A 15,443-nucleotide genomic window follows, 5' to 3' on the forward strand; every position below is an offset into this window, starting at 1 on the left:
GTGTAATTTCTGAGGTAGAATTTCAAATAAAAGGAGAAAAAAATTAAAGAAGGAAAAGGAGAAAAAAGTGAAAAAACCACCATACAGAAAAAAATTTCATATAAATTCAAGATCTAAATAATTAAAAAAGAATAAAAGGAAGGAAGGAAGGAAGACTAAACAAGATAAAAATACAGAAAAGTACATTTTTAAAAGCAGAAAATATTTCTCCCAAAATGCAAAAACCACTTAAAAAGGCTGATAACATTTTAAAGGAATAGATTAATATATTGTTTATATAACTCAAAGTTACCAGTGTTTCAACAATTCTAAGAGGCATTCTTTTATCTATGGAATTGAGATATTTCTTACAATAGATGGCACCTTATAAATTATTGCCATTTTTTTTCTTTCTTAGAACATAAAAACTAGTGCATCCCACCACCGGAAGTATCTGCGAGGCAATAAAAAAGGATGAAAAGCTTTATGGGACTTTACGTATAGGACTTACATGCTGGTTTCCTCCATTACTAGGGACTGAATGTTTATGTCTTTCAAAAATTCCTGGCCTGGCGCGGCGGCTCACGCCTGTAATCCCAGCACTCTGGGAGGCCAAGGTGGGCAGATCACCTGAGGTCAGTTCAAGACCAGCCTGACCAACATGGCAAGACCCTGTCTCTACTAAAAATTAGCTGGGTGTGGTGGCGGGTGCCCGCAATCCCAGCTACTCAGAAGGTTGAGGCAGGAGAATCGCTTGAACCCGGGGGGCGGAGGTTGTGGTGAGCCAAGATTGCGCCATTGCACTCCAGCCCGGGCAACAAAAGCGAAACTCTGTCTCAAAAAAAAAAAAAAAAAAGTCCTACGTTGAAGCCCTAACCCCCATTGTGATGGTACTTACAGGTAGGGCCTTTAGAAGGTTATTAATTAGGTCATAAGGATGGAGCCCTCATGAGTGGGATTAGTACCCTATCAGTAGAGACAAGAGGGATGATCTCTTTACCACGTGAAGACAGCAAGAACGCATTCCCTCTGCCAACCAGGAAGAGGTCTTCACCAGGACCAACTCGGATGGCATCTGAATCCTGGATTTCCCAGACCTCAGAACCAGAAGGAATACATTTCCATTGTTTAAGCCACCCAGGCAATGATATTTCTGTTATAAAAGCCCAAACTAAGATACCCACACAGAGAACACCTACACACAGTGTGGTTACAGGTTGCATCATTTCTTTTTCTTTTTCAATATTTGCATATTCTCTAAATTTTCTACAATGACCCACCACATGAATTCTTTTAAAAGAAAAAAATGGTAAATATGAAATAGAATAGTAGTGTTGACCCTTAAGAGGAAAAAGATGGTAGAAGACACTATGTTGCTTACAGTAGACTACAAATGTGCGTGAAATTTGTAAATAAAAGATGAATACTTATAAATGTCACCACCTCCCTCTCTGATGTTTCTGAAACCAGAGCATATGTGGTTAACCTTGCTCTAGCTCCAGTCCATCCATCCATCATCATGCTAAAACATACAGCTGTAGGCAGTGGAGAAGAGCTGTATGTGGTGAGGAAAGCGGGAGACAGGAATTCCAGAAATGTCTACTAAAGCAGTGCTTTAAGTTTTAATTTATTCAAGAAACCAATACATATCAGAGCATAAGTGAGAAAAAGAAAACAATTATAAAAAATACAAAGGAGTCCAGGATAATAGAAATCTTTCTTCATTCACATATTCTAGCTAGAATAGTGAGAAGAAATTCTCCCTCAAACGTGGACAGTCCCTTACATCTTCAGCCGACACGGAAGTCTTATCTGAGAATAGAATCTCTGCTACACTAACCTAGGAGACGGCCAGGCAACTGCTGCGGTATACCCATCACCCCAGTGTTCTGGAAGAAAAAGACAGCAGGGAGAAGTTCTCTTTAGAACCAGCTCTTCTACACCAAATGAACTCAGGAGACAATGAATGGAAACACCATGCCATGGTGTGAGCAATGCAATGTGGAGCACAAGCAGCGGAGAGTCTGCTGAAGAAGCTACTCCCCTGAAATAGGAAAGAAGAAAACCAGTTGGCTCTGAATCGAATCCTGCTCCGGTCCTCTTTCTCTTTACCATTTCCCCTTAAACCTCAGGCTTTCTGAACTGCACCGCAACTCTAGAATCTTCAATTAAGGCAAATGAGGAAATAATGGAAAAAGACTGATATATTAAATAAACTAAAGAATAAGACTTAGGTCCAAAATCCTATTTCGTGACACAACTCGACCTTGATCACAGTAAACCCACCAGGCTCATTCTCTCTAATGCCCTGATGAAGCCGTCAGCAACCCCTTCTACCTCGGAAGACATCAGAGCAGAAGGGTGGGATCCTCCATCGCTGTCTTCAACGTAAACAACATTCTTAGGGAGAATGCTTGCCTCTACCATGGAATCTGACTACATGCTATAAGCACCTGCTCAAACCTGACTTTAAGACCCATTCCAGAAAGATATTATAAATGCAAAGATCATACGAAAATCCTGCAGGTACTTCAACAATGCATCACCTACTTAGGACACACATGTGTGGTGTCTCATGTTGAAATGTTAGCAGATGATAAGACTCTCCCACCATCTTCTCCCATTAGTATGAACAACTATGAGTTAGAACCACCTTACTGAGGGAAGAGGACACTGGTCAGGCATCTATCATAAAGAAACATCACCACATTTTATAAGCAAGTTTCTAGCTGTTAACAATTATCATTCAATATAGCATACTGTAGGTACCCAAACTGCTAGTGAACAAGTGCTGTGATTTAATGTCTGTCTCTACTATTGGCTCTCAGATGGTTTGGCTACATTAGTTTTCCATTCTATATTTGATTTCAGATTCCTACTAAAATAATTAAGTGGAGAAACCATTAAGAAGCAAAACTGTCTCTTATTTAATTTTAATCCTCCCTCCTGGGCCTTCCTCAACTCCATGCAACAAAGGTTGCATCAGTTTTTTTAAATAATCAGTTTTTTAAAACATCAAAACCCAAATATTCTTACAACCAAGAGGTCTTCAGGTTGATGAAAATGGGGAGATTATGATTCCTACAGCCAGAAGGACAGTTAAATTCCCAGTCCTCTGAATTTTCACAAAATGACTAATTTTATTTGAAATGTTCTATATTCTCTAAACAGGCAAACTATATAAAACAAATAACTTATGTTCCAAAGCCAGAATATTTTTACAATGAAGTTATCTGGGCCATTTCACCGGCAGAATAAAAAAAAAAAAAACCTGACCTCAAGATGAAATTTTCAACAATATTCATATTCACTAATATATAGTTAGCTAGTTGCCACATTCTGGATAATTTTCAGTAACTTGTTAATGATTAATAAAAGCAATTAGTTCTCTAACCCACTCTATGGCAATTTCAGAATAAAACCATTAACCTTTAATAGTAAATGCAAATTACAAAGCTTTAACAGGCAATTTTACTCTCTTGGCCTCCACAACAAGGGTGTTATTTTATAAAAGATGCTTTCCTCCATGAAATAAGATAAAATTCTTCACTTTTATGTACAAAACTATAATTTTCTCTAAATGAAATATAAAAGCAGAATAAGTAGCAAAACCCAAAGTCAGACATCATTTCTTACGTAACTCAAAGAATCCTGTGGACAGCAAGGCACACGCAGGTAGGGAGGCAGTGACCAGGCCCCAGCAGTCACTGCCCCTGCACCAGCCACTAGAGGAGGCATGGGCTCTCGGGAAGGCAGAACACCCCAACAGCCTGAGGCACTCACTGAAAAGCACAGCAGACCCATTTCTTGCCAGCAGCTGCTACTAGGAGGGATCTGGCCACTCCACAGAGACAGGGAGTGCAGTCCGAGGGACTAGATGAGCCTCACCTCCTGGAACTCGGAAAACAGATGCTCCAGGGCTCCCGCTCCAAGCCAAGGCCTCACACTGAGGAGAAAGTGCTGGGACTGGATTCAAAAAGGAGCAAAACAGGGACAGGGACAAAGAAAAGGCAGGTAAAACTGGGAGAGGGGAAGCAGGAAACCTGTACAAAAGCCACAGCCGAAGGGGCTGTAACAGGGCAGTGTATCTCCCAAGTCTCCTTCCATGAGTTGAGGAAAACTAGCGTCACATACAAACAAGCACCGAAAGCACTGAGGTCAGACCCCACACAAACTTACTACGAGAGAAAGATTTAAGCAGCAAAATCCCCACAGACAAGGAAAGCACACTGAAGAAAATACAATTCAAACTGAGCTAAAGTATGTGAAAATGATACAAGCCATGAACGAAGGTAAGCCAGAATGATTTCCTTTTTAAAGTTCAAAAAGCGGGCAAATCTCTAGGAAGTACAAATAAAGGAGAAACTCGTTTTATACATAAAGATTATATGGAAGACAAGAACACGTAAACACAAAAATGCTTTAAGAGAAACAGGCGGCTCGAAGAAGAAAATTTTTTAATTAAAAAAAAAAAGAAGAGATAAAAAGAATGCAAGAGAAGAAATGAATACTAAAGACAGGCAAAGAATACCTGAAACAGATAACAGGAGTCTCTGACTATAAAAGCAACAATGAAGCAATGGAACAGGACAAATACTGAAGACTACAATCCAAGAAACGTTTTCCGAATGAAAAACGATCTGAAGCTATACACTGAGAGAACATACCACCTATCTAAGCCTATCAACCACAAATGGCTAACACCAGATTAAGAAAAAGTCCTTTGGGTATCGAGGCAAAAAGACCACATGACTTACAGAGGGAAATATCACTGCACATTTCCAGCAACAGTTTATGCCAGAAGGAAACAGAGAAAGAGAGTTAAGATACTTAAGGAAAGAAAATACAAGCCAATAATTTTATCTCTAAGTAAAGTGACCTTCAAGTATCAAGGGGACAGTTATCACTAGACAAGGATTCAAGATATGTTGTTCTTAAGAACCCTTCCTGGCCTGGCATGGTGGCTCACACCTGTAATCCCAGCACTTTGGGAGGCTGAGGTGGGTGGGTCACGAGGTCAGGAGATCAAGACCATCCTGGCTAACACGGTGAAACCCGGTCTCTACTAAAAATACAAAACAATTAGCCAGGCATGGTGGTGGGCGCCTGTAGTCCCAGCTACTCGGGAGGCTGAGGCAGGAGAATGGCGTGAACCCAGGAGGAAGAGCTTGTAGTGAGCCGAGATCGCACTACTGGACTCCAGCCTGGGCGACAGAGCGAGACTCTGTCTCAAAAAAAAAAAAAAAAAAACCTTCCTGAGAAACCTCCTAGAGAATAAGCTTCAGAAAATCAACATCACTCCAAAGACATATATGAAAGACTGCTGTGAGTATAAACTGATTACACAGTTACTTGCAGAATCAAGTTAAAATGAGAGTTAAGAGGCAGAGATTACAACACGTAATGGTTACACGCTAAGTCGACATGGTACAACAATTAAACACACAGGAGAAGGGGGAGAACAGATGCAAAAGACTTTAACTGTATTCAGTAGTCATAACGGAAGCTGGTAGTACTAGTACTGTTATTCAGAGACTTCCTATGTGTATTGTGGGACAAAGCAAATAAGTAATTCTATAATAGTCTATCATCACGTGTTATGCACTGAATATGTCCCTCCAAAATTCCTATGTTGAAACACTAATCCCCAACACCATAGCACTGGGAGGCAGGATCCTTGGGAACTAATTAGGTTTAGATGAGGTCATGAGGGTAGACCCCCCATGATGGGATTCATGGCCTCACAAGCAGCCTTAACTAAGGCACCATGTGAAGCTGAAAGCCAGGATTCTCAGTGTAGAAAAAAGAAAATAGAGCTGTAATACATAAGAGATGATGCAAATGACCTGCGGTCCTTAGAGGATAGGTGGCTTGCAAAGAGAAACAAGTCAGACGCATACTCTTGACGTGGACCCCAGCTCTGAGGACTCCCAGACCAGTGCTCTTGGCTCAGCAACTAGGCTCCAGTTGGTTACGTCACTGACGGCTCCACAGCTCTCCCCCAATATGAGTGATCGTGTGCCCAGTATCAGGAGTGGAACAGCAGCTCCTGATGGGAGCCTATCTGTCTCCATAGCCCTTGACTGGTGACCCTAGCCACACTCTCAAAAGGATGACAACTGAGAGGGAAAAGGTCCTGGAGCATAACCAATCTATGCTACTAGAAGGTAGGACAGTAATTATCTTTGGTGGAGTAGGGAGCGGGGAGTGACTGGGGAGGGGTCTAGGGTGCTGGTGATGTTTTCTTTCTTGATCTGGTAACTGGTTATAGGGATGTCACCAAATTGTCACTCTGAAAATTCTCCAAGCTGGACACATAAGATTTGTCCATTTTTTTCTGTTTATATACTACATTCCAAAAAAAAAAAAAAGGAAAAAAGGAAACACCAAGACAAGTTGTTCTGAACTTGAAGTAAAAATATCAGTATGAACTCAAGATGTTTTATTTTTATACACACACATACATTTCAGCCCTCTCTACTGGGAAGGCACAGAAGCAATGATAAACCCAGTAACAATTTGCATCCAGCATCTATACTCAGGTCTTGAAGCATCATTTCCAATTAAATAAAACTAGGACTTCTTTGAAAATGGCTGATTCTAGGCCTGGGCAAGATATGTAGATAATGAACCTGAAACATCTTGACATACCAGACAGCAAGAAAGCTATAAGGGCTTGTAAGGTCTGATCAAAAGGACTCAGGAGTCAATTTAAGGAGGCTCCCTTTGGCCAACTGATACAGTTTGGATGTTTAACCCCTCCAAATCTCATGTTGAAATGTAATAACCAGTGTTGGAGGTGCGGCCTGGTGGGAGGTGTTTGGATCATGGGAGCAGATCCCTCATGAATGGCTTAACACCATCTCCTTGGTGATGAGTGAGTTATTGCTCTGAGTTCACACGAGATCTGATTGCTTACAAGTGTGTGGCATCCCTGCTCCTTGCTCCAGCTCTTGCCATGTGAGATGCCTTCTCCCCCTTCGCCTTCCACTATGACTGGAAGATTCCTGAGGCCCTCACCAGAAGCAGAAGCTGGTGCCATGCTTCTTGTACAGCCTGCAGAACCATGAGCCAATTAAACCTCTTTTCTTTAGAAATACCCCATCTCAGGTATTTCTTTATAGCAACACAAGAACAGCCTAATACATCAATGATGGAACAATGTGAGCTTCAATGAGGATGAGAATGACAATGAATTGTAACTTGTCGACTATGCTGAAAGCTCTGAGATCACAACGATTTTTTTAAAAAAGAAAAGAAATGAACTGGTCACGTTCTAAGGATGACAGGAAATCAATTCATTATTTTGAAAGCTGTGTAAATAAAAGGAAAGAATCAAATATTCATCTTGACTTTCCTAAATAAACTCAACAACCAAATAGATAAGGAGAAGCATCTTCTTATACAATTATTCCAGTTAATAAATGAAAACAGAATGACAAAGTCAAATACCACCATTTTACAATCCTTAATAAATTAATAAATCTAGGCACTGAGCATCAATAGCTAACATAAAAAAAAGAAACAAAGAAAGAAAGAGTGAAAACCAGACGATACACATTCTGATAAAAAACAAACACTACTCAAAACTCTCATGAAGATCAGCAGTAGTACTGTGCCTGTGAATAGCCTCTGAAGTCCAGCCTGGGTGACATGGCAAGACCAAGTCCCTTCTTTAAAACACACAAAAAAGAAAAACACACTACAACATATAATTGTGCTGAAGGGATTAAATCCTAATCCGACAATGTAACTGCATTCTGCTGCCAATCTGCAGAAAACACAAGAGGACAGAGGAATATGTTGAATTACACCAGCAGAGCGCAGACTGAGAAACAACATTAAATAGCTGGAGTGATACCTACAGATTAGGAGACTTAAAAGACACAGTCTAAAAACATTACCAAAACCAAATTATTTAGTGTCTAGAAATGTATGATGGGGTGAAGGAACTATAAAGAAATGTAAAGAAGCAACTACTAGGAAAATCAGAAGAGTGGTTACTTTGGAGGAAGGGAAGGGATTGTGATTAGGATGGGACACATACGGGAGTTTCTAATTTCCTGCTGTGGTCCTGGATGGTGGCTAAAGGGGATTCACTTTACAATAATCCGCTAAGCTACTTCATTCGACTCTGAGGGCTACCATAACAAAATACTGCAGACTGGGTGACTTCAACAACAGAAATTGATTTTCCCACAGTTCTGGAGGCTGGAAGTGCAAGATCTAGGTCTCAAATGGGTTGTTTTCTCCTGAAGTCTCTTTCCTTGGCTCACAAACAGCCACCTTCTCCCTTTGTCCTCACAGGGCCTTTCCTCTGTGCATGTGTGTCCCTGGGGTCTCTCCCTCTTCTTTTAAGAAGTTGCCAGCCAGACTGGATTAAGACCCCCCGTCAATGACCTCGTTTAACCCTAGTTACCTCTTTCAAGGTCCAAACATAGTCATACTGGGGGTCAGGGCTTCACATATGAATTTGCTGAGGGGGCTTGAGGGATGCACAATTCAGTCCATAAACGCTGTATATATTTATTTGATGTAGTTTTGTTTTAAATAAAAAGTGTGTGTGTGTGTGTGTGTGTGTGTGTGTGTATCTAAAGTAGGCTTCACAGGTCTTCTCGGCTCCCTCCTGAAACTCTCATGAAATAAAGGAAGAAGCGGGTATAACCCCAGAAGGAAAGACAGAAGTGAGAAGTGATGATACTAGATGAGAGATGGTCACATTTGAGAAAGTGGAAAGGAGACAGAGGGGTCTGCTGGAGCAAAGTCGAGAAGCAGGAAGTAGACTCAAAACTCAGAACCCTAGGAAGTTCAGGAAATGAAAGGACCACGTAATCTGGAGACCAGGGCGCAGGCACAGGATGGCGCTAAGAGCTCGGCTGGTAATGATTTTGACTAACGAGCAGTTTGAGTCCCAGACGCTTTCCTGCAGCAGTTACCTGTGGGTAACTGTCCTCCCTCACTCAGGCAGATACCTCGATATCTGCTTTCCAGGTATAGACCCAAGTATAGGGTGAGGGCAAAGTAGCAAGCCGCCAAGCTCCTTCCTTCTTTCCTCAAAGCCGTGCCTGAAACATTCAAACACTACCTTCCATTTTGACTCCGTAAGATAATTAAAGTCCTCATCTCCAGAGCCCTGCCTTGTTCACATCCTAAACAAAGACAGCTCAGTTTGGAGGAAGGGAAGGGAAGGGAGGGGTAGGGAGGGGAAAGGAGAGAAGGGGAAGGGGAAGGAGAAGGGGAAGGGGAAGGGAAAGAAGGAAAGGGAGAGAAGCGAGGAAAGAAGGGAGAGAAGGGAGGAAGGAAGGGAGAGAAGGGAGGGATGGAGAAAGGGAGAAGGGAGGGAGGAAGGGAAAGAAGGGAGAAAGGGAGAGAAAGAAGGGAGGGAGGGAGGAAGGAAACAAACTACCTGAGTATCTCTAATCTGAAAATGCAAAACCTAAAATGCTCCAAAATCCAAAACATTTTGAGCAACGACATGATACTCAAAGGAAATGCTCACTGGAGCATTTTGGATTTCAGATTTTTGGATTAGATTTTCAGATATCTACATCATGCTCAACTGGTAAGCATGATGCAAATACTCCCAAAATCCAAAAAATGCAAAATCCAAAAACACTTCTGGTTCCAAATGTTTCAGATAAGGAGGACTCAGTCTGCACCAGAAACGTCTCTAAGTCTCCCACAACTAAAGATAATAATTTTCTTTGCTGAAAAGGCCAAGAACCAGAACAAAAGATGAAGACATCCACATCAAAGTACATTGTTATAAAACTTATTTGTAGATGACATGATCATCTACACAGAAATTCCCATAGCCGCTACCAAAAAAAAGTTTCTGCAACTAAGACTTAGCAAGATTGCAGGATATGCAAAGATAAAAACATCAACTGTATTTCTATAAAAATAAACTAACAAAAATAGAAATTAATAGGACAATGACATTAATAGCATCAACAATGAAACAGAGAGAAATCTGACAAAAGGTGCACAGGAACTTTACACTGAGAACTACAACATAATTGCTAAGAGAAATTAAAGATCTAAATAAATGGAGAGATACGCCATATTCATGGGTCAGAAGGTTTAATATTGTCATGATTTCAATTCTTCCAAAACTGATCTGCTAACTCAACACGATCAAAATCCTAGCACACTGTTTTTGTAGAAATTAACAAACTGATTCCAAATTCAGATAAAAATGCAAACGACCCACAATAGTCAAAATGATTTTGGAAAGGAAGAATAACGTTTGAGGACTTACATGACTTCAAGACTTTATAATGAAAAACCTAGTAATAAAGACAGTGTGGTGTGGGCATCGAGATACACAAAAAGGACAATGGAACAGAATCAAGCTCGGAAATACATATTTATGGTCAATTGACTTTTGATAAAGGGGCAAGGGCAATTCAGTAAAGAAAGAATAGCCTTTCAACAAATAGTAATAGAACAACTGAATATTCATATTGTTTAGAAAACACAATAAAGCAAAACCAGCACTCTGATCCACACTTCATACCATATACAAAAAGTAATGTAAAATGGATCACAGAACTAGATATTAAACTTTATAAAACAGGTAGAAGAAAATTATAGGAGAAAATCTTTGTGCCCTTGGGCTTGACAAAGATTTCTAAAATATGATACCAAAAAGCACAACCTGTTAAAGAAAAAACTGGCTAAGTGTGGTGGCTCATGCCTGTAATCCCAACACTTTGGGAGACTGGGGCAGTCGGTCTGCATGAGGCCAGGAGTTCAATACCAGCTTGGGCAACACGGCGAAACGCCATCTCTACAGAAAGATTTTTAAAAATTAGATGAGCATGGTGGCATGTGCCTGTATTCCCAGCTATGTGGAAAGCTGAGTTGGGGGGATCACCTGAGCCTAGGAGAGAGAGGCTGCAGTGAGTCAATATCATGCCACTGCACTCCTGCCTGTGTAGAGTGAGACCCTGTCAAAAAAAAAAAAAAAACACTAACAAAATGGGCTTCATCAAAATGAAAAACTCCCACTCATTACAAGATATTATTATGAGAATGATATGGAAATAATCTCAATGTCCATTGTCAGATGAACAAATAAAGAAAGTGTGGTAAACACACACAATGAAAAAACATTTGTTCTTAAAAAGGAAGGAAATCCTGCCATTTGTGACTACATACACAGACCTGGAGGGCATTATGTTAAATGAAACAAGCCAGACACAGAAAAACAAATACCACATAATCTCACTTATATGTGGAATCTAAAATAGTCAGACTCACAGAAACAGAGTAGAATGGTAGTTGCCACAAGCTGGGGAAGAGGAAAATGGGGAGGTGATGGTCAAAGGGAAAAAATACAGCCTGAAGCTAACAATACTGTGTGGTATACTTAAAATTTGCTAAGAAGGTAGATCTCATGTTAGGTGTTCTTACCACAAAATTAATAATAATAATAATAATAAATAAATAAAGGGGGTGAAAGGAAACTTGGGGTGGTAATGGATATGTTTATGCTCTTGATGGTGTTAATGGTTCCAAGGGCATGAACTTATCCCCAAACTTATCAAGTTGTATAAATTAAATAGGTACAGCTTTTTATGTGTCAATCATTTAAAAAAGAACTTGTACCTAGAATAAAGATTCCTCAAAAATCAATAATAAGAAGCCAAACAACTCAAAACATGTGCATGAAATCTCAACGGACACTTCACTAAAGAAGATATATGGATGGCGGCCAGGCGCGGTGGCTCACGCCTGTAATCCCAGCACTTTGGGAGGCTGAGGCAGGCAGATCAAGAGATCGAGACAATCCTGGCCAACATGGTGAAACCCCATCTCTACTAAAAATACAAAAATTAGCTGGGTGTGGTGGCACGTGCCTATAGTCCCAGCTACTCAGGAGGCTGAGACAGGAGAATCACTTGAACCTGGGAGGCGGAGGTTGCAGTGAGCCAAGATCGTGCCACTGCACTCCAGCCTTGTGACAGAGCGAGACTCTGTCTCAAAAAAAAAAAAAAAAGCTATATGGATGGCAAATAAGCATATGAAAATATGCTCAACATCACAAGCCATTAGGGAGAAGCAAATTAAGGAGATGCCATTACACACCTAATAGAAAGGCTGGAATCACAACAGTTGATCTTACCAAGTGCTGGCAAGTATTACAGGCTGAACTGACCCCTCCTAAAATTCATAGGAAGGCCTAATTCCCAGTATCTCAGAATGTGGCTGTATTTGGAGAGGAGGTCTTTAAAGAGGTAATTAAGCTAAAATGAGGGCCGGGTGCAGTGGCTTACACCTGTAATCCCAGCACTTTGGGAGGCCAAGGCAGGAGGATCACTTGAGGTCAGGAGTTGGAGGTCAGCCTGACCAACATGGTGAAACCCTATCTCTACTAAAAATACAAAAATTAGCTGGGCGTGGTGGCATGCACCTGTAGTCCCAGCTACTTGGGAAGCTGAGGCAGGAGAATCCCTTGAACTCAGGAGGCTGAGGCTGCAGAGAGCCAAGATCATACCACTGTACTCCAGCCTGGGCGACAGAGCAAGACCCTGTCTCAAAAACAAACAGACAAACAAACAAAAAAAAACTAAAATGAGGCTATCATGGTGGACCCTAATCTGATCTGACTAGTGTCCTTATAATAATAGGAAATTTGGACACAGAAAGTGACACGGGATGTGCATGCTCAGAGCAAAGCCCATGTAACAAGGCAGGTGGAGGGCAGCCGTCTGCAAGCCAAGAAGAGGGGCCTCAGAGGAAACCAATGCTCCTGGCACCTTGATCTTGGACTTCGAGACTCCAGAACTCTGAAGAAATACATTGCTGTTGTTTAAGCGCCCCAGTTTGTGGTTGTTTGTTATGGCTGTGCTAGCAAACAAACACAGAAAGGATATGAAGCAACTGCAATTCTCAGACTGCTGATGTGAATATAAAATGGTTCAACTACTCTGGAAAACAGTTTCGCAGTTTTTTAAAACCTTAAACATATACCTATCATATGATCCAGCTATTCCACTCCTAGGTATTTATCGAGGAGAAATAAAAACATGTCCACACAAAGACTTGTACACAAATGTTCACATCATGTTTATTTGTAATAGCCCTAAACTGCAGACAACACAAGTATCCATTAGCAGATGAATGGACAAACTGGTGTTTCCATATGATGCAATACTTCTGACCAATAAAAAGGAAAGAACTATTAATACCACACAACAACATGAATGAATCTGAAAATAATTATGCTGAGTAAGCGAAACAGAAAAGAAGACAGTGTGTAATTCCATCAACGTAAGATTCCAGAAATGGCAAACTAATGTATGATGAAAGAAATATCAGTGGTTGCCTGGAAATGAGGGATGACAGGGAGGGGATTACAAAGGCACATAAGGAAACTGTGGGGGTCTCAGGACCTGAATGTTTGTGTGCCCCCAAAATTCAGATGTTGAAAGCCTAACCCCTAATGTGATGGAATCAGGAGCCCGTGGGAGGTACAGTCATGTGTCACTTAAGATGGGAAAACATTCCGAGAAATGCATTATTACAGTGCACTTACACACGCCTAGATGGCATTGCCTACGACACACCTCGACTCTATATACAGCCTATTGCTCCTAGGCTACAAACCTGCATGGCAGGCTACCATAGTGAATGCTGTAGGCAACTATAACAAAATGGTAAGTATTTGTTTAACTACACATAGAAAAAAAGTACAGTAAAAATACAGTATTATAATTTTATGCAACCACCGTCGTATATGTGGTCTGCTGTACACCAAAATGTCATTATGCACCTGACTCTAATTCAAAACATCAGATTTGATACTTTACATGTTGTCTACATCTCATGTTCAGAATGGTTCCATATTTAAAATCATACTGCATCATACTTTTGTAATATGAAAAAAATATTAAAAGCTAATGAGATGAAAATATTTCAAGAATGCCTATGCTTCACGTTAAAAAAAAAAAGACCCACTGTTACTGTTGCTGAGAATGTCAATTAGTACAGCCACTACAGAAAACAGTATGAAGATTTCTCACAAAACCAAAAACAGAACCACTATATATGATCCAGCAATCCCATTACTGGGCATTTGTCCAAAGGAAAAGAAATCGGCACATCAAAAAGAAATCTCACAGACTATTCACGATAGCAAAGATGTGGACTCACCCTAAGTGTCTGCCAACAGACAAATGGAAAAAGAAAGTGTGGTATATATACATGATGAAATACTATTCAGCCACAGAAAAGAATAAAATCACGCCGTTTGCAGCGTCATGGATGAAACTGAAGGTTATTAAGTGAAATAAGCCAGGCAAAGAAAGACAAATATTGCATGTACTCACATGTGGGAGCTAAAAAATTGATCTCATGGAGGTAGAGAGTAGAATGAGAGATACCAGAGGCTGGGAAGAGTTGGGTGGGGGAGAGGGCTGGTCAATGGATGAAGACAGGATGGCTAATGGATACAAACACACGGTTAGAAGGTGTAAGTTCCAATGTCTGATAGCAGAGTGGAGGGACTATAGTTAACAACAATGTTTTGTGTATTTCAAAGTAGCTACAAGACAACTCAAAATGTTCACCAAACACAGAAATGATAAGTACTCAATGTCATGGATACCCCAAATAACCCAACTAGATCATTATACATTCTATCCATGTAACAAAACACCACATGTACCCCATGAATATGTAAAATATCATGTATCAATTTTTAAAACCCACTGTTGTTTTATGCTTTATGCATAAGCCATTTGTAGAAAACAAGGTGAAAGTAAATTTGATTACGTAAAGTCCCCTTCCCCCCGGGGTTCTGGAAACTTCTCTGATTCCATCCCATTTTTTAAACTGGAATATCTAACTATCTGGAAAAGAGGAGCTGGACAGAATGATCTCTTAAAATTCCTTCCAGGCTGGGCGTGGTGGCTCATACTTATAATCCCAGCACTTCGGGAGGCCAAGGCGGGTGGATCACCTGAGGTCAGTAGTTTGAGAGCAGCCTGGCCAACATGGTGAAACCCCGTCTCTACTAAAAATACAAAAATTAGCTGGGTGTGGTGGCGGGCGCCTATAATCCCAGCTACTCAGGAGGCTGAGGTAGAAGAGTCGCTTGAGGCCGGGAGGCAGAAGTCACAGTGAACCAAGATCAGGCCACTGCACTCCAGCCTGGGTGACAGAGCAAGACTCCATCTCAAAAAAAAAAAAAAAAAAAAAAAATTCCTTCCAACCTTGAAATCAGTTATTTTTTTCTCCTCTTTTCTTCTATCTCCTCAAACCATAATAAAGATGTGTGTTGTTCACTTTATTCACTGAATGCTATTTTGTGCTATCTTTCCTTAACTTAAAATTATGTTAGAATTCCTCCCAAGAAAAAATAAACCCAAACTAATATGCTTCATATAAGACTCTTTTGTGAGTAGCCCTTAAAATGTGCCCCTTTTACCACATTCCCTAACCTCTTCAGGATATTC

At 40.6% G+C, this 15,443-nt stretch overlaps 1 protein-coding gene across 6 annotated transcripts in view, besides 2 other annotated features; it reads right to left on the reverse strand.

Annotated features, from left to right (window-relative positions):
• Positions 1-15,443, reverse strand: part of XKR6 (XK related 6) — a 305,789-nt gene that overhangs the window by 239,643 nt on the left and 50,703 nt on the right. The gene's annotated exons all lie outside the window — the stretch shown is intronic.
• Positions 3,416-3,917: an enhancer, noted in NCBI's record as "H3K27ac hESC enhancer chr8:10996613-10997114 (GRCh37/hg19 assembly coordinates)". NCBI's record gives its function as "activates a minimal SCP1, AML or CMV promoter by ChIP-STARR-seq in naive H9 embryonic stem cells {active_cell/tissue: H9 hESC(naive)}" and the evidence as "EXISTENCE:reporter gene assay evidence [ECO:0000049][PMID:30033119]".
• Positions 3,572-3,866: a silencer, noted in NCBI's record as "tiled region #1954; K562 Repressive non-DNase unmatched - State 21:Repr". NCBI's record gives its function as "represses a minimal TATA promoter and a strong SV40 promoter by Sharpr-MPRA in K562 cells {active_cell/tissue: K562}" and the evidence as "EXISTENCE:reporter gene assay evidence [ECO:0000049][PMID:27701403]".

This window comes from Homo sapiens, chromosome 8, assembly GCF_000001405.40.
Source record: "Homo sapiens chromosome 8, GRCh38.p14 Primary Assembly".
NCBI lineage: Eukaryota > Metazoa > Chordata > Mammalia > Primates > Hominidae > Homo > Homo sapiens.